At 36.6% G+C, this 20,884-nt stretch overlaps 1 long non-coding RNA gene across 1 annotated transcript; it reads left to right on the top strand.

Moving 5' to 3' along the window:
* The first annotated feature begins 1,310 nt into the window (after positions 1 to 1,310).
* Positions 1,311 to 14,586, top strand: LOC107984812 (uncharacterized). The gene is made up of 4 exons (XR_001752332.2): positions 1,311 to 1,388; positions 3,299 to 3,483; positions 7,298 to 7,357; positions 14,478 to 14,586. It is a non-coding gene; the product is annotated as an uncharacterized LOC107984812 (long non-coding RNA).
* The last annotated feature ends 6,298 nt before the right edge of the window (positions 14,587 to 20,884 follow it).

Here is a 20,884-nt window from a genome sequence, read left to right as displayed (position 1 = left end):
TAATTGCTTAGAAAAAAAATAGAAGAATTATTTCCAGGAGAGCAATTTTCTTTTTAGATGATGGAAAAATAAAATGTGGTAAATTTCATTCCTGCCACCAAAAATTTAGTGTTCAGTAAAAAGGCAATGTTGGTCTTGCTTTACCGAGACCTCCTTATATCACATCTGGAATGCTATGTTTACTTTTGAGTGCCCTCTATTAGACAAACATCTACTAAATTCAGAGTACTCAGATTCAAATCTAGTTATGAGAGCCATGCAAACAGTGTGTGTCAGTGACATAGCCAGCATTCTAGATAAAAGAGGGGTGTTGGATTGTGTATGTACCTAATCTTAAAAGGTCAGTCTAGCTCATTGTTGCCAATTTCTTCAGGAGAAGCAACAAACTGAATTATCATGAAAATATTGGCATCTGACATATGTGGGGTAAGCTATAAGGTAGAATTTGTTTTTGAGTGGCCTATTTAAGGAATGTGAATAGTACATGGAAATATAGTTTTGAATAACTAAAAATAACAAAATAAGGTTTATCATTCAAAAGGGGTAATTTAGAGAAAAGACAATGCCTGGATTTAAATATTTGCATAGCCATAACATAGAAGGAGGATCTGAAGCATTCTGTTTTAGGCAGCAGCAGATGAGTAGAATATTGAGAATAATAAGTACCTACATAGCATTGTAATGTGTGGGAGGATTCAGAGCATTTACTTCTCAACATAGAATAAAGATGCCCTTTTATATCACTTTATGTTTGAGAAAAGGGAAATATAAAAATGTTTAAATATATTATCTCAGATAACATAGTTTCTATGTACAATATTAGAGTTGAGATGTAACCAGTGGTATGCTAGAGACACCTCCTAAGTGCTCCTGATATGGTTTGGCTGTGTCCCCACTGTATGGTTCCCCCATACTGTTCTCGTGATCGTGAATAAGTCTCACAAGATCTGGTGGTTTTATAAATAGGAGTTCTCCTGTACCACCTCTCTTGCCTGCCACCATGTAAGACGTCCCTTTACTTTTCCTTCATCATCTCCCATGATTGCGAGGCCTCCCTCCCCCAGCCATGTGGAACTGTGAGTCCATTAAACTGCTTTCATTTATAAATTACCCAGTCTCGGGTATGTCTTTATTAGCAGCATGAGAAAGGATAATATACCTTCCAGGAATGGATAATGTTCCACCTCACCCAATGTCATGTAGGTAGCCAGAAATTATCCTTAAATGATGTAGTCACACCACATAAAATTGGCAAATACTATAAACTACCCCCTCCCTAAGTGTCAATTGTTAATAATTTACCAGCTTACCATTGATTTAACCTACACGTGCTGTTGCAAAGACTGTTCTTAACAACTACTTTGTATGGGAATTACAGAGATCTCAAGGTAAGAAAGAACTTTTTCTTTAGCAGTACATTTATACTAACAAATTAGAGTATTTCTTAGCTTCTCCTTAACTTGGAGATATTCAACTAGAGAGTGGATAACCAAATTAAGGGCTAAATAGATAATATGCAGACATTGGATAGAGGGATTGAAATTCTTCAGTGTAGAACCGTATGCCCTACTTTCTATATTCTTTAGGTATTAAAAATCTATATAATGGCTTTGTAAGGGAGAAAAAGATCTTTTCCTCACACATTGCTAGGTTCATGGCCAAGGCCCTCATAATGAAATACAAATTAACAAATGTAAAGCACACAGGCTTATTTAATATAAATTTTACATGATATGGGAGACTTTATGAAGAAATGAAGACCCCCCAAAATGGTAAACCGTGTTTATTTTTATGCTAGTTTTGATGAATGAATGGATAGTCATGGAGAAGTATGATTGGATTAAAAGAAACTATTATCTAATGGTAATAAACTGGGAGGAACTTAGTGAGACCTGTTTGTTCAGATTCTTTTCTGTGTCCCTGTGTCTTCAGAGAAAAGGATGTTCCTTTCTTTTTGGTCTAGGGAAGATTTTTATTGAATGAGGGTCTAATGATCAGCCTTAGTGGAAAGTCAGAAAATTCTTTCGGAGTTTTATGATGTTTCCTGGGATAAAGTGGAAGAAGGTCAGAGTGAAAGCTTCTTGTTTCTGTTGTTTTCTCAAATGCCAAAGAGCCATGTATTGGGCTAGCGTTTCCTCAACTCCATAGGCATAAATAATAGCATTAATTTCAATTGGAATATTCTCACTAAGAAAAACAAAATTTTAGTTTCTTAAATTTGAGCCAGTGTTAAGTTTGACTTAACATATATCATTATTAAAAATATAGCATTTTTGAAAATTGAGAAACAACTCTAAAAACCTTGAAGTTTCATTTGAAGTCAGGAGGCTGACTCATAAACCACATTAAACGTTTCCTAAAAATGCCATCCAACGTCTGGAAGGGTCATTTTATTTTGGGGGTGCATATTTCAGAGCAGCATGACATTTTCTTGCAGTCTTGTTTTATGTTGTAAAATATTGCACTAAAATTGAAGTTAAGGTTAACAGACTTTAAAGTCTATTCTTTTGAGAAAAAAAAATGTCAATTTTCACCTTTCACGCAAAATGAAAGCCACCCAGAGTACAGGTGTAATGCTGTTTAACAAAGGTTAATTTAAAATTCATGTGCTGACTGCCCTTGCAGGAAGGGGTATGGGGTAGCAGGGAATTTGACAAAAAGTTTCTCTAATCATATATAATAATTTCATATGTATATATAATTTTATGTATATATAATTATATATACATATATAAAACAATGAATAACTAATATTTATTTTTTGGAAATGAGGGAGCATTAGGGTGAAATACAAAAAGTTTTCTGATTACTATTGTTTCATACTGGTGAAACTCTGGTTTTGGACAGAGAGGATGTACATGTCCACCTGCTGAAAATAGTCTCTTTTCATGGGCACCACCATGGTGATAAGTGCAATTCAACTTTGCTCTTTCTACTTGAAGTCTCTCCAGGTTACCACTTTGGAAGTTATTTCACTTCTGACCTTGGCCATTATGATTTGCAGGCAAGTGACCACAATCATTAGCAGCCTTCACAAATCTGCTTACCCCCCTATGTTTTTTAAGGACAAGTGGATCTTTATTCTCTGTGTCATTTGTTATTTATTTGCTTATACAGAATATATTGGAAAAATTATATTTGAGAGATTGTAGATGAACTTTACCATTTAAAAATGGGTTTTCAATTATCTGTGAACCTTCTTAAATATCTTTTCTAATTTTTTTCTTAAGTTATTAAATATAAACAGCTTGATGCTTAACAATGCTATGTATTGTTTTCTCTTTCCCCATATGCATAGAAAGAAGAAAAGTGGAAAGGGTATATAAGAAAGGGAAGGAAAGAAAGAAGAAAGAAAGGGAGGCCATGAAATATAAATGAGCTCTATTAAACGTTGGCTAAGCATCATGCTAAATGATTTAACACTTTTACCATTTTATCGTCTCAAAAGCTTATCATGTGCCTATTATTGTACACATTTTGGAGGTGAGTATATTGAGGCTCAACAGAGCCAAGAGACTTACTCAATGTTATAAAATAGTAAAAACTGTATAATGGGAATGTAGTTAATTGTTTAACAACAGCAAACCATTGCATGTGATGAAAATGAAAATTCAATTATTTTTAAGAAAATTTTGAACTAGGTTATTAATACTATTGATCATGCTCTTTCCACCCTTATCTCTCATCAAAACAAAAAAAAATGTATTGTAGAGTAGATCCGAGTGGTATCATTTTCAATTTGTAGTCTTCAATATCAGATAGATGTCCCTATGTATTTTCTATATACAAAGTATTGAAACATACCAGGATAGCAGTCTACTTTATTAATACAGATAATATTTTAAAAACTACAAATTAAGTCAGAAATTCACTAATGATGAAGTAAAATTGTAGAAAGCATCTAGTTATAGGACTATAATCGTTAGTCCTAATGATTATAAGAGAACAGGGCTACTTCTGTAACTCAGATTAGATCCTTATATCCTCTTTCCTCATGTGGGGCCTTCACAGAATTTTTTTAAAGTTTTATTTCAGGTAACTTTATCCCTAGCTTTCTTTATTCAAAATCTGTGTAAGACGAAATATCATTCCCTTCCTGTACACACTCTGTTGCCTTGATATAACTATAAGTAACCTATCATACTTGTCTTGGCCCTTTATAGGTTTTAATATAACTCACTAGAGGCAAAAAGTAACTAAGAAACAGAGAAATGACAGACAAAAATCAATCAGGTGGTCCTCAATATTTTTCAGTTTGATTTGTGTGTGCATACCACATTCTATTTGTTATGTTGAGACTTATAAAATGTATTTTGTAGATTGTATTTGGTACAATAAACTGTTTTGAATACATTACATTAGAACTTTTAAAGAGCAACAGGTAAAAGATCATTTCAGCTTACCACTTGAGGGTGCTGCCTGCCATCCAACAGTTTAACCTGCATTATTTTTACCAGCTCATCAGAATTTCATTGTGTAGTAAATGAATAGCTTATTGCATGTTAACCTTATTACTTTATAAAATTGAGTTAGAAGTAAGACCAATTATGGCATTAGTCATAAAGAAGTGTTAGTTTTCAGGGACATTGAAGCAGTTGATGTAAAAGTGATAAAAACATAAAGCATGCATATGTTGGTGAATCATCCATCTCAATCATATGTTCCTTTAAACTAAATAGACAAGCTAAGTGTTGAAATGAAAAGGCATAATTAGGGTGTTTACAGTTGTTTTAGCTCTTTGGGAGGGTGTAACATGTTTATTGCCCAACTTTTGCAATTTTTGTCCTTATGTAAATTTTAATGACACCATTTTTAAAAACATAATGCTGGTAAAAAAGATATTTTTTAAAAAGTGTATATAAATGCTTATATGGACACTTGAAACTTCATTTGCTTACATAGCCAGTTCTTATTCCCAAAGGTGAAATCTAACTCTTATCCCCAAAATTATCATCTACCTAGCTTTTAGCTACAGTAATGGCAATATTGATAATCAAGATAAGACAACAATGATGATAATTTATAGCAATAAATACTGACATCAATGCAAGACATTTAAATGGATCACCCAATTTAATCTTCACCCTAGCACAATTTTGCAATGAAGAAACAGCTGACATTATATAATATCTCTACAACTTAACATCTCATAATTGGTAAGTAGTAGAAGTTGTACCTAAATCTATGTCTACCTAAAACTGGAGTTTCAAGCTCTCAACTACCATATGTAGACAGTTTTTTATATTCAAATTATACATTATATGTGATACCTTCTTACAGAGCAGAAGGTTTTCACTTCACCATCATCACCATCATCAATACCTCCACCACCATGGTTCACATTATCATTCTTATCTGTTGGCATTCTAGGTGTTTAATTCTTTCTTTTAAAAAGGATCAGCTGTATTTATATGTAGACAGATGATAGATAGATAGATAGATAGATAGATAGATAGATAGATAGATAGATAACAAGCATACACACAGCTTTGGGGAACTTACACACAGTAGTAACATTCAGTTATTCATCATCCATATTATACAGTAGAATCCAAGTAGAACACCTGTCATGCCTCCCCTCCATCACGACCTACCTCCTCCTCAAAGGTAATCACTTATCTGACTTCTATCATCAGAAATTAGTTGGGTCTGTTTTTGAAATTTATATAAATGGAACCACAATTATGTGGTCTTTTTCATTTCAGATCTAGTTTATTCTGCTCAATATTACAGTTGTGACATTTGCAAAAGCAGTGGCATATAGCAGTACTTTATTTACTTTTATTGCTGTATATTATAGCATTGTACAAATTTACAGGTTTTTATAAGTTATCCATTGGATTTAGATCATTTGGGTGTTTTGTGTCTTTGACCTTTAAACTCAGTGCTACTGTAAGCATTTTCTGTACATCTATTTTGGTGCACATTGACATGGCTTTCTTGGGTTTATGCCTAGTAATAGAAAAGTTGGTGATAACGTATGCATGAGTATCTTTACTAGATACTACCAAATGGTTGTCCAACATGGTTATACCAATATGCTCTTCCACCTGCACCATGTTAGATTTCTATTTGATTCTCATCCTTTCTAACTGTTGGTGTTTTCAGTCATTTTAATTTTAACCTTTTTAGTAGATGTATGACTTTTCATATTTCTCTTTAATTATCTTTAAATATATTTTTGACTTTGTCGTAGACATGTTATAGATAGAAGGTGAATTACTAATGCTGGAAAAGCTACAGCAAAGTTTTAGTAAAAGGATGAGGTAGATTTAGGGTGGAGTTTATAGTGGTCAAGCAGCCCATACAAGTAGAACAAATTTATATTTTTGGACATTTGTGTGCATTTATGAACATCTTGAATTGAGTAAAGGATAGAGAATACCAAAAGTTGAAAAGGTCCCAGCAAAACTCTGAAGAATGGGGGAGGTGGGGGAAGAGTGAACGTCTTACATTACCTAAGGACAGCTATGATCATAAAACCTGAATAGAGTTATTTTGTCCTAGAGAATGACCACATCACCTAAAGGAGTAACAGAGGATCATGGAATCATGTGAGGAGTTTCTTCCTAGCTCTCATTCTACCTGAATGAAATTAAAATCTAAGTTTTATCTTTGTGTCACAAATCCAAACTGCAGTCTCCATTCAAACCCAGCTATCTAAAATTGTATTTATTTTATTTTAGAGATGGAGTTTTGCTTTTGTTGCCCAGACTGGAGTGCAATAGTGCTATCTTGGCTCACTGAAACCTCTGCTTCCCAGGTTCAAGCGATTCTCCTGCCTCAGCCTCACGAGTAGCTGGGACTACAGGCACGTGCCTCACCACTCCCAGCTAATTTTGTATTTTTAGTAAAGATGGGGTTTCACCATGTTGGCCAGGCTGGTTTTGCACTCCTGATCTCAGGAGATCCGCCTGCCTTGGCCTCCCAAACTGCTGGGGTTACAGGCATGAGCCACCGTGTCTGGCCTAAAATTTTAAATTTTATATATATATATATATACTTAAAATAAAATACAAATATATCACTGGGACCAAAAAGAGTGCTATGGACTAGTATAAATTATATATATATATATACACACACATGATATATATATATATATGTATATATATATATATATATATATATATATATACATATATATATATATATACACACATGATATATATATATAAATTATATATATACTTACTAGTCCATAGCACTCTTTTTGGTCCAAGTGATATATTTGTATTTCATTTAAAGTAAAATGGAGACTTCATTGACTTTGAAAATGTCATATATTCCTTTGTAGGTTTCGTAAAGGCATCACAGCTTAGTTACAATCATTAATGCTGGACTTGCCAACTGAGAGGTAAATAAGACCTGGATGATTTCTTCCTTTACACTTTGCCGTGTTGTGGATTTCACCAGTGTTCATTCATTGTAGCTTCAATTATATTTGATGATTTAGAGTTACTCTCTTTTACTAACTTCCGTGGTTGTTTTTCATTTTTATATATCACCACAATGTAAAATTCTGCTATTGAATTTCTCTCTATTTTTTTTTTTCACATCACAGATTTTATGGCTTTTTTTATGGTACCCAAATGCTTGGCCTTTAATTTCCTTTGCTGGAATTGTGCCATTTTATAGATTTCTACCCCTGGGTGAATCTAGGATTCAAGAAGCCTTTTATCTCTTATTCACGTCCCACAGTATTCTCTAACATTTATTCTCAAATTGGTTTTCTATGTCAGTAAACAAAACATGAAGATGACAATTTGAGAGACAGTTTAAAAAGACGAGCAACATTCCATTTTTAGTTTCTGGAGATATTTTGTGCTGAAGTCACAGGCTTTCATTATTCAAGACAAATTAAGATTTATGAAATTGCATTCCATCTATATGTATGGGCACAGTGTTGGCAACTGTGGATTTATGAAATAAAAGATGAAGATACATTTTCCTTTGGCTGTTAGAAAGGCTGTTCAAATGGTAATAAGCTAGAATTATCATTTAAAAAGATCTCTTATTTTCCTGTAAAATTACAGCAGCCACTTTTAAAATAAAATTTTCTCTCTCAGAGAAAAATGATCCATCATTATGGTTATTGAGAAATTTTCTACCTAAACTAATGAAGGTAACCCTTCTTTTATGTTATAAAACAATGGACTGATTTTTAAACATCTATCCACAAGTATTTTTTACATCAAGGTATATTACACAGATTCGTAATTTCAAAAATTATGAAGACTATTTCTCTTAAAAACATTAAGCAGACAAAGAATGTAAAGGATTGCTAAAGTTTAATTTTGACTTTAGCAGTTCATTTGAAAATTAAATCTCAGCATTGAGTAACTTTTTGTTTTTAATTAGTTTCTTTTTCAGCTTTAGATTTATACCACATGATCAAATAGTCTCACTTTATGCAAAAATATGAAATTATTTTTTACATGTAACAAGGTAACTGTACAACTTTGCCCATAGCTTCAAGATTTTTCTAAGCTAGTATGTGAATAACTAATAACTAATAACATTAATAACTGTCCTGTTTCCCACATAAAGTCTCATTCCTCTCCTCTTATTTAGAAGCCTGCCTTTTACTAAAGGTGACATTAGGACAATATTATAGTTTTTGATAGTCAGAAAATATGCATCTGAGATTTTAATTATTCATGGTTTAAGATCTTTCAATAGTTGTAATCTTTTTGTGTTCTTAATGAGTGACATAATTACTTGACCTTTCCATTGCCTTAGATTTCATATGGGCCCTTTTGTCTATCATTGCTCTTCCTTGAATCTAAAACTTGACATTCATTCCCTCATGGCTAGATGTTGAACTAGATCTCCCTGCATCTAGGTTCTTCCTGCCTAGCATACCCATTGGATTAGCATTAGAGTTTTCTTTCTAGCATAGCATTTAGCAGCATGGGCTTTGGAATTAGTCAGCCATAGGTGTCGGCTCACTGCAACCTTGCTTCCCGGGTTCAAGCGATTCTCCTGCCTTAGCCTCACAAGTAGCTGAGACTACAGGAACACACCACCACTCCCGGCTAATTTTGTATTTCTAGTAGAGATGGGGTTTCACCATGTTGGCCCGGCTGGTCTTGAACTCCTGATCTCAGGTGATCTGCCCGCCTCGGCCTCCCAGAGTGCTGGGATCACAGGTGTGAGCCAACATGCCTGGCCTAAAATTTTAAATGATAGTTTTTTTACTAGTCCATAGCACTCTTTTTGGTCCTAGTGATATTTTTGTATTTTATTTTAAGGAAAATGGGATCTTTGTAGACTTTGAAAAGGTCATATGTTCCTTTGTAGGTTTCATAAAGGCATCACAACTCAGTTAAAAACATTAATGTTGGACTTACGAACTGATAAGTAAAAAAGACCTGGATGTTTTCTCCCTTTATACTTTATAGGTGTGAGTCCAGCTCTACCTCACTCTAACCGTGAACCTAACATACCTTGCATAACTTCTCTGTGTCTCTGTTTCCAATCTGGGGAAGTTGGGCTAATAATGACACGTAATTCAGAGGACTAAAAGGATTAGCCCAGATCATGTGGGCTTTTATCATACATAGTGCCTGATACACTTTGGATATTTGTCCTCACTTAAATCTCATGTTGAATTGTAATCCCCAGTGCCGGAGGTACGGCCTGGTGGGAAGTGTCTGAATCATGGGGGCTTATTCCTCATGGCAGCTTGGTGCTGCCTTAGTGATAGTGAGTTAGTTCTCATGAGATCTGGTGGTTTAAGTGTGTGGTAGCTCCCCCTCCACTCTCTCTCTTGCTTTCACCATGTGATGTAGAAGCTCTCGTTTGATCTTTTGCCATGAGTAAAAGCTTCCTGAAGTCTCACGAGAAGCCATGTTTCCTATACAGCCTGCAGAACTGTGAGCCAATTAAATCTCTTTTCTTTATAAATTATCCAGTCTCAGGTATTTCTTTATAGCAAAACCAGAATGGCCTAATACAGTGCCTGTCATTAGTATTTGCCTAGTATATGCTCAAAACTAGAAGTGGTATTATATTCATATTTTGGCAGAACTCCTTCTGCCAGGAGATGATGGATTTCTTGAGAAGAGGGAGGATATTTTTGTTTTTGTTTTGTTTTCCTTAGCCTGACTATATAGGATGGAGCTGATAAAGAATAAAATCTCCATATGTGATTTTACTTTAATGACATGTAATTCAACTGAATAATAAGGTCTACCTCACCATTCTGTGTGTCTGTACTTAAGTCTACTGATGAAATTGCCTCTGCAAAAATCGTGACAGTAAGAGAAATCTGACATGGCTGACCCCATCTTGCTTCTAGCCTCGCAGGCTGGCTGTCTTTGCTCATTCCTGGGAATGAGCCAAGCTAACTTAGGGAAGTATTTAGTTTATAGTTTAAATGACGGTAGCCCTTCCCCAAAACTAAACCAGCCTTGTAAAACTAATGAAAGGCCACCAGGTTAGGAAGTGGAGAGGGACCTGAATTCTGCTAAGATACAGGCTTAGTTAAATGATTATCAGCCATTATTCTGGAGGTCATAAGATTTGTAACTTCCTCAGGTTCTGCTGTAATTAACCTAAGATTGGCCTTTTGAAATGCCTTCAGGCTTTTGCATTTCTGACAACTGGATGGTCCAACCAGGATCTGTCCTTCCCTCAACCAGTCCTGCAGCCCCCACCCAGAAGCAGACTCAGCCAGGAGTACCATTTTTCACACCCCTATGATTCCATCCCCAACCAATCAGCAGCACCCATATCTTGGGCCTCTGCCCATCAAGCTATCTTTGAAGAATATCTAACCTCCAAGCCTTCTGCAAGATTGATTTTAGTAATAACTCTGTCTCCCACATACAGTGGCCAGCCTCACATTAATTACACTTTCACTTTAACTGCAATGCCATGGTCTCAGTGGATTGATTTTGTCTATTCAGTGGGCAGGAAGAACCCATAAGGTGGTTACTCTGATACTGCATCCTCACGGCATTTACTACTGCCTCCTCTTGGGGTTCTGTCTATCTGGTGACCCCAGTTCTGGTCATATCCTTGTCTCTGAGATCAATCCTATGACTCGTATGGGAGAGTCAATGATATCTTTTAAATCCTTTCAGTATATTCTAACATTCAATCACCACACGTCCACCACTTAAGTGGAACTGAATGTGTTGCTGAATTTGACCCAATTCTCATTTGCTGGTTTGTTTAACCACTTGTAGCTTATAAATTTGAGTCCTACATCAACCATGGACTTTGTCACTCTTCTTCTCTTCTGTAGAATTTACTTTAGCATTCTAATTAATGCCCAGAAATAGAAAGGATTCTTTATGCAATATATGCATCACTCCAAAAAAAATAAAAAACGCTGCTCTTCTCATAAACTCAAATGATATGAAATTCACTCTCTCCTAAGACATCCCTTTCCTTATTACCGCTTAGAAAGTTTTCCTTTGCTAAGCTGATTTCTATCCTCCAGAAGCTTTCTTCCTGTGGCTCCAGTTCTATCATTTAAGTCCAATAAAGGTAAGCCTCGTTCACTTCCAATATTCAAAGATAGCTCTTGCTTACTATCTGAGGCTGTCTCATTAAAAAAGCAATTGCTTCTTTCACCTATGCTTTATGGACCTTAATCTTGTATTTTCTAAATGATAACCATTAGACAGATTTAATTTTTCTGCATCCTTGAAAATGACCGGTACCCAGACCCAACAGTAGTGTGGCCTGTCCAATATGGGAAAGTTTTGCCAAATATTCTCTGGGTACCAAACTTCCAGATCAATTTTAGACTGATTTAGTAATCCATTAGTATTGATTTTTGCTGAAATTACCATTAACTGGAAACTTAACACTTTTTTATTATTTGCTTCTGATATTCATTCACCTCTCTCCTACCTTGAAACTACCAGATTGTTTTAGCAGACATATGTTTTGCCCTATTAAATTTTATTGCTAATTTCTGACTCACTCTTTTAGCACACTGCCAAAATATTTTTGGATCTTGATTTTATCAGTATCTGAAATACAGTCATTTTCCTCCTTAGGCTCCCAACCACTTACCATCCACCTCTGGAATTACTTGTCCTTTCAGCTAACTGGTAGCCAAGCTCATTAATATTTATAGCATTTCTAAAATGCCAACACCTCTTCTGAAATATCTCTCATTTTCAACATAGAGTATACTCTATGAATTCCAAATTTCAAGATATTAAGGAGAATGCATAATTTATAAACATATATGCATATAATCTTACATCTGGATGCTTTTTTACCATGTTTACACCATAATTTCTTTCATGTACATTAAAAACACTTGTACAAGTACAAATTTGTTTTCTACTTTTGCCCATAAATGTCAGAAAGAAGATGCATATTTTATAAGAATACACTGTCACTTTTTTCTTTCTAAATTAAGTTTTAAGTATTTAAATATAAAAATTTATTATTTAAACTATTGACTAATTTCATTTTTATCATTACTATATTCTCCATAACTTATAAGAGCTTGAATTTCAATTACTAACACATTTCTGAGATAAGGTGTTTTAAAATATATAGAAACCCAGGTCTTTTGAGGTGGTGGTGTTTAAATCCAAACAGTAGAGAGAAAAAAGCGTAAGAAGAAGTTCTCTGTTGGCTTTGCATCTGTCTTGGCTTGTTTCAGAGTAAATTTATTTTAGAATCTATCTCTTCCCTCCACTTTCTCTACAACGTGTTGTGTCTTCTTTACCTCCCCTGCATAACTTGAGCTAATCAATAACAAAGGTCTCCTGCACAAAGACAATGGCCTCCTAACCAATGTCCTTTAAGACTCTACCGCCTCGACACAGGAAATTAAAGAGAATTTTACAAGTTAAAATCTTATTTTCATGCCTCTGCTTTATTACTCTCAGAGAATAATTACAACAAATTTCTAATTACTGAGCTCTCAAGTTAAAGTTTCTGTGATTTGACACCCCCACTCCAAAACAAGTCCTCCCCCGTGTCATTTCGTAGAACTACTCATAGTTCAACTTGGTAGGCTTTTTTTTATACCCACTAGCTCCTTTGATCCCAGTTTGGTGGGAAATGCTGTTGTTTTCTCCACTCATGTCCCTTTCTTATTTTCCTATTGGGCGTAGAATTATCACTATTTCAAACTAATGGGCATAATTATTTTAGAGAACTTCCACATTTACAGAAAAATTGAGCAGGAAGTACAGAGATTTTCCATATACTCTTTCCTAACCCTCTTCCCTAGAGTTTCCCTTACCTTTAACATCTTGCATTCGTGTAGTACATTGTTTACAATTGAGGAACCAATATAGATACATTATTAACTAAAGTCCTTAGTCTTTATTAGATTTCACTCCTTGTGTTTGTAGTTCTGTGGATTTTTACAAATGGATAATATCATTCATCTGTGTCATCTGTTCACTGTTATAGTATATTATAAAATAGTTTCAGTGCCCCCAAAATCTTGTTGTACACCTATCCATCAAAACCCTGGCAACCATTGATCTTTTTACTGTCACTATAACTTTAGTTTTCAGAATGTCATATAGTTGAAACTATATAATATGTGGTCTTTTCTGATTGGCTTCTTTCTCTTAGTAGGTTTCCTTCTTGTCTTTTCATGGTTTTATAGCTCATTTCTTTTTAGTGCTAAATAATATTCTCTTCTCTGAATGTACTACAGTTTATTCATTCGCCTACTGAAAGACAGTTTGGTTGCTTCCAAATTTTGGCAATTAGGCTGCTGTGTGCATTCATATGCAGGATTCTGCGTGGGCGTAAGTTTCAACTCATTTGGGCAAATATCTAGAATTGCAATTGCTAGATTGTATTGGTAAGACTGTGCTAAACTTTGTAAAACACTGCCAAAATTTTTCCCAAAGTGGCTATTTTTTATTTCCACCAACAATGAATGAAAATTCCCGTTTCTCTACATCCTCACCAGCATTTGGTATTGTCAAATTGTGGGTTTTTGCCATTATAATAGATGCGTAGTGGTATTTTGCTGTCACTTTAATTTGCAATTCTCTAATGATACATGAGGTTAGCATGTTTTCATATGCCTATTTTGTCATTCTCATATCATCCTTGGTGAGGTATCTGTTCAGATAGTTTGCTTCTTTAAATTGCTTTTTTCTAATTGTTGTTACAAACACCTTTTTTTACCTTTATATTTTTATTTTTATTTTATTTTATTTTATTTTTATTATTATTATTTTGAGATGAGGCCACACTATGTTGTGAAGGCTGGTCTCGAACTCCTGGGCTCAAGTGATACTCCTGTCTTGGCCTCCCAAAGTGCTGGGATTTCACACGTGAGCCATTGCACCTCAAACATCATTTAAAAAATAAAAATTTAAGGCAAAATCCTCTTAAAACCTCGCTTATTCCCATCAGTCATAGTACTCTGTCACTCCGTGCACGGCTCTTTAAATCCTATACATAATTCTATGAAAACGCTTGTAATAACTAATCAACATGAGCTGCTTACACATTTTCTCCTCTTATAGGTGATTGTAAAGGCTTTCAAAACAGAAGCATATCTGTATCTCCAGCAGTGTGTTTCCAGTCACAGAAGAAGCATTCAATAAATTATTTTGAATGGATGAATTCAGCTAACACAGTCTCTATAGCCAGTTGTCTAAGTCATTATCTAAAGCATATGGTAAAATTTCTTATTTCAAAAACAGAACAGTAACAATTGAAGGCTTTTCAGAAAGAATAAAACATTTGAAGGAGGTAACTAATCTATCAGGCTTTTTAAAAAAATATTTGATTCTTTGTTCCTACTTCGTCCTCTGGTTTCTCAACACTTAAAATGCCAGAGTTAGCTAGCTATATAATTCTCACAAAATCCATTCCCTTTAACATGAACTCTTTACCAACAAATAAAAGAATGCCTAAGCACTTATCGATCATTTCCAGCTAGTCAGTAATCAATTCTAATGGGGAGACAAAGACAGTGGTGGAATTATTTTCACTTCTTAAATGGACCCAAATTCATTGAGCATCTTAAAGAAAAAATTATCATCATTTGTTTATTTTTTTTTTTGAGACAATGGCATGGTTTGGCTGCATCCCCACTGAAATCTCAACTTGAATTGTAACTCCCAGAATTCCCACCTGCTGTGGGAGGAACCCAGGGTGAGGTAATTGAATCATGGGGGCCAGTCTTTCCAGTGCTAGTCTCATGATAGTGAATAACTCTCATGAGATCTGATGGGTGTATCAGTGGCATCCGTTTTTCCTTCTTCCTCATTTTTCTCTTGCCACTGCCACGTAAGAAGTGCCTTTAGCCTCACACCATGATTCTGAGGCCTCCCCAGCCATGTGGAACTGTAAGTCCAATTAAACCCCTTTTTGTTCCCAGGTTTGGGTGTGTCTTTATCAGCAGCATGAAAAGGAACTAACACTAAATTCGTACCCGTAGAGTGGGGCATTCCTGAAAAGATATCTGAAAATGTGGAAGTGACTTTGGAATTGGGTAACAGGCAGAGGTTGGAATAGTTTGCAGAGCTCAGAAGAAGAAAGGAAAATGTGGGAAAGTTTGGAACCTCCTAGAGACTTGTTGAATTGCTTTGACAAATTGATAGTGATATGAACAACAAGGTCCAGGCTGAGGTGGTCTCAAATGGAGATGGGGAATTTGTTGGGAACTAGAGCAAAGGTGAGTCTTGTTATGTCTTAGCAAAGAGACTAGTGGCATGTTTCCCCTGCCTTAGAGATTTGTGAAACTTTGAATTTGGGAGAGATGATTTAGGGTATCTGGCAAAAGAAATTTCTAAGCAGCAAAACATTCAAAAGGTGACTTTGGTGCTGTTAAAAGCATTCCATTTTAAAAGGGAAACAGAGCATAAAAGTTCAGAAAATTTGTAGCTTGATGATGCAGTAGAAAAGAAAAACTCATTTTTTGAGGAGACATTTAAGCCAGCTGCAGAAATTTGCATAAGTAGCAAGAAGCCTAATGTTAATCCTCAAGACCAGGGGGAAAATATCTCCAGGCCATGTCAGAGACCTTCATGGCAACCCCTCCCATCACAGATCTGAAGGCTTAGGAGGAAAAAGTGGTTTTGTGGGCTGGGCCCAGGGTCCCAGTGCTGGGTGCAGCCTAGGGACTTGGTGTCCTGTGTCTCACCCGCTCCAGCCATGTCTGAAAAGGGCCAACGCAGAGCTTGGGCCATGGCTTCAGAGGATGCAAGCCCCAAGCCTTGGCAGCCTTCAGGTGGTGTTGAGCTTGCAGTGTACAGAAGTCACGAATTGAGGTTTGGGAACCTCCACCTTGATATTAGAAGCTGTATGGAAACACCTGGATGTCCAGGCTAAAGTTTGCTACAGGGGCAGGGACCTCATGGAGAACCTCTGCTAGGGCAGCACAGAAGGGAAATGTGGCATTGGAGTCCCCATACAGAGTCCCTACTAGGGCACTGCCTAGTGGAGCTGTGAGAAGAGGGCTACTGTTCTCCAGACCCCAGAATGGTAGATCCACTGACAACTTGCACCGTGAGCCTGGAAAAGCTGCAGACACTCAATGCCAGCCCATGAAAGCAGCAAGGAAGGAGGCTGTACCCTGCAAAGCCACAGGGGTGGAGCTGCCCAAGATCCTGGAAACCCACCTCTTGCATCAGCCTGACCTGGATGTGAGACCTGGAGTCAAAGGAAATCATTTTGGACCTTCAAAATTTGACTGCCTAGCTGGATTTCAGACTTGCATGGGCCCTGTAACCCCTTTGTTTTGGCCAGGTTCTTCGATTTGGAATGGCTGTATTTGCCAAATACCTGTACCCCCATTGTATCTGGGAATGTATCTACCTACACCCCCATTGTATCTACTTTTGATTTTGCAGGCTCATAGGGGGAAGGGACTTGAATTGTCTCAGATGAGACTTTGGACTGTGGACTTTTGGTTTAATGCTGAAATGACTTAAGACTTTGTGAGACTGCTGAGAAGGCGTGATTGGTTTTGAAATGGGAAGACATGATATTTGGAGGGGCCAGGGGTGGAAGAATATGGTTTGGCTGTGTGCTCACCAAAATCTCAACTTGGATTTTATCTCCCAGAATTCCCACATGTTGTGAGAGAGACCCAGTGAGAGGTAACTGAATCATGGGGGCCGGTCTTTCCCTTGCTATATCGTGATAGTGAATAAGTCCTACAAGATGTGATGGGTTTATCAGGGGTTGCCACTTTGGTTTCTTCCTCATTTTCCTCTTGCCACCGCCATGATTGTGAGACCTCCCCAGCCATGTGGAACTGTAAGTCCAATTAAACCTCTTTTTGTTCCCAGTTTCGGGTGTGTCTTTATCAGCAGCATGAGAACAAACTAATATTGGTAGAGTCTTCCTCTGTCACCCAGGCTGGAAGGCAGTGATATGATCACAGCTCATTGCAACCTAAACCTCCTAGGCTCGAGTGATTCTCCCACCTCACCCTCTCAAGCAGCTGGGACAACAGGTGCTTACCACCACACCCGGTTAATTTAAACATTTTTTGTAGAGACAGTCTCTTTTCATGTTGCCAAGGCTGGTCTCAAACTCTTGGGCTCAAATAATCAAGTGTGTGTGTGTGTGTGTGTGTGTGTCTGTGTGTCTGTGTGTGTATGTGTACATTTGTAATTTGAGAGGATCGGAAGGTGAAGATGAATTTAGCAATATCTGGTACAACTGAGAAGGTATATACTTTTATCTGACCTAGAATTCGCATCTAGTTATTCACTTTTTGAAAACGCTCACACACTCGAAAGCAACCACCTATGAGATATCATTTGTAATTGCAAAATACAGGGAATAACCTACACGATCATCAATATAGTCATATGGTGGAATGCTATACAACAGATAACATAAATAACAAGGATAACACGAGTCATCATGAACAGGGCTCAAAAACAATGTTAGGCAAGTTGCAGAATGTGCAAAATAGTAGAATTTATATAAATTAAAAATTAATATATTTAGTCTTTATACGAACACATATTATAAAGCATATGTTAAAAATAGACCAGCAGTGGAGGATTCTGGGAAGATGGTAAAGCAGAAAGCCCCAGAAATCTGTCACCCCACCTATATAATAATTCGACTGGCAGAATCTGTCTAATGTAACTATTTTGGAACTCGAATATATTGAAGGATCCCAACTTTCAGGGTAAGGCTTGAATGATAAATTACGGTTAATTTTGGTCAATTCCAGCCCCTGGGGAAAGGTAGATTTTCTCAAAGAAAAAAAACAGGGTACAGTTTGTGGAAAAGGTTGCTGACAAAGCAACATGTAGGGCTCATTATAACAGAGACAAGGATTAGACCATGTGATATCAAAGCTCATAATATTTAAAATTAGCCTGTGCAGCTCCAGGCATTGTCATGGAGGGTAAAGGTTATCTCCCTTTTAGCTACCTCAAACTACAATGTGGGAATTTTCAGATCCTTAGCAGACCATATATGTCCAAGTACTGATTCCAAATTCCTCTAGTCTTCCAAATTCTGTCCTTTCTCCCTAGGGCATATTGCCCATTCTTTTCAGCCAAGCCATCCTTCAGCATTCTGGGCCGCATGAGTGCAGCTCAAATGTAATGCCAAACAAATCAACAGAATAGCTGTCAGGCCTTCACTGGAAACAATATTAGCCTTGTCTGTTCATACTGAGAGCAGAATGGAAGTGACACAAATAAAATGTAATGGGATAAAATATATTGCTCAATGTACAGTAACAAGGAACTATTGGTTGACATTTTTTTCTCTCTCCTCACTACAATTCAATATAGTTTCTCCGTGATTTCTACATAGTGTTAGTTAACAGAGTGCCTGCATCAGTGTCAAACACATAGTTGGAGGACAATAAATGCACTTTTAATGAATTTATAGATGAATTAAATCAGATTCAATGAATTGGTTATAGAATTTGTACTAAGACTCTATGCAGAATCTCAAAGTTGGAAAAAAAAATCTTTGCGTAAAAGCCATTGGAAGGCCAGGCACGGTAATCATGCCTGTAATCTTAGCACATTGAGAGGCTGAGGCGGGAGGATTGCTTGAGCCCAGGAGTTCAAGGCTACAATGAGCCATGATGGTGCCATTGCACTCCAGCCTTGGTGACAGAGGGAGATCCTGTCTCATAAAATAAATCTATAAAAGTAAAAGCCATCTGGTGCACCTATTTTCCCTAATAATGAGTTCTTTCCACTAGGTTCCTCATGAGTATTTATTTTGATACAAGTTTAATAGAAAATGTATTACCACACGAATCGCTTAATTCCAATGACACACCATCCCAAACGTCTGAAAGTTTCTTATACTAAAGTATATTGATGGTTCTTGCACTGAACCCATCAGAGATGGATTGTGGGAATCAGATAAATATGAAGACGACCACATAAGCCAACACTATTGCATTTGGATCTATGGCAAGCCTATATGCTCAAAGCATTAATAACATATGATATATTTTTAAATAACAGAATATCATGCCTTTACATCTACAGTTTTATTTTGCTCAATATAGCTCCCTTTCGTCTCAATAAATTGCATTCTCTAAGTTTAAGAAGCAGGTGTAAGTCAGAGGAATTGACAGGCATTTTTGGATGTCCAATATTTCCATGGTACTGCTTTGCATTTCATGCACAAAACCTCTTTTCATCTTTGCAATAAAGTAGGTACTGCCATTAAGTCTACTCTCAGAGGAAACAGGTGTAGGAAATTTAAGAAACACATCCAAGGTCACACAGCATGTACATCGTGGAGCTGGCACTTGAACTTGTGTCTATCTGGCTAGAAAGTCCATTCTTTATTCCTGAGTTCACCACCTTCCAGCTATGTTTATCATTTATTTCCTAAACTGCTCAGGATAGTAAAAATCCAGAGATATTCTTGGCAAAGAATCGACTTGCTAAAACACACATGCCATTGGTTCTTCTCTAACATTTAACATTTGTGATACTGTTTGCTGAACAGAAAGAAATGCTAAGACTCGAGACCAAATGTTTACTGAGCAGATTATTCTTGATGGCCTTCTGCTTAAAAGTTTAAAATTAAAAATAGAACACTACTCACTGTTTGTCCCCTGCCAAACTGTGTGGGAGCAGCAGCACAGATTGCAGGGCAAGGCTTCGGAAGCTCGAAGCTCAGCAATACATCTTCCTTTGTCCCCAGTGTTAATATCCTCTCTCCTTTTCTTTCAGGACAGAAAATAGTAACTAATAGCTTTAATAGCTGCCACTTCCATCACTTTAACTGCGAGTAAGCTCAGATTTTCTTTCACCCTTCAGAATCTACAGACCACGGATGGCCACCTAAGGCTCTGTGGAGTCCTGGAACTGTTGCTTTGAGGGAATTACCGCCATGCTTCCCAAAATACGTCTCACCACAAAAATGATAAATGCTGATACGGGAGAAAAGATGGGAACTTAGGAGACTGTAAATATGTCCCTCAGTTCTCTGTGTATACCTTGGGTTTCTCACCCTGAGGGAATGTAGTTGCAGCTGTACTACGTGGGAAGAGTAAGCGAGAATGTTCTTTTTCCTTTGTCAGAAGTCGTGGAGCAAGGAAATTTTGCCTGGGGAGGAGGTGGAATGAAATGAATTATGTCCTTTTCTCTTGATCTGTTTAGCTAAGCAGCAATGTTTCTATTGGTGATGGAGGGCGTTGCTGTTGATTCTGCAGTCGAATATGTTAATGTGCTAGGTAAATAAGAGGGGAATTCTGAAACAACTCTGTGATTACAGAAGACAGAGCTGAGTTTTATTTCCACCTCTGCCACTTGCTAGTTGAGTAATCCAAGCTCTGTAATATAAGCTTTTTGAAACTTTGTTTTCCCAGTTGTATATTAGATGGTATGAGCCTACCTTGCAGAGATGCCATAAGAATAGGGTTGCCAGATTTATCAAAAATGCTTGGTACTTAGTTAAATTAGAATTTTAGATGAAC

This window comes from Homo sapiens, chromosome 16 (genome assembly GCF_000001405.40).
Source record: "Homo sapiens chromosome 16, GRCh38.p14 Primary Assembly".
Lineage (NCBI taxonomy): Eukaryota > Metazoa > Chordata > Mammalia > Primates > Hominidae > Homo > Homo sapiens.
Note: the sequence above shows the minus strand (reverse complement) of the source record. Positions and strands in the feature narration are given on the sequence as shown.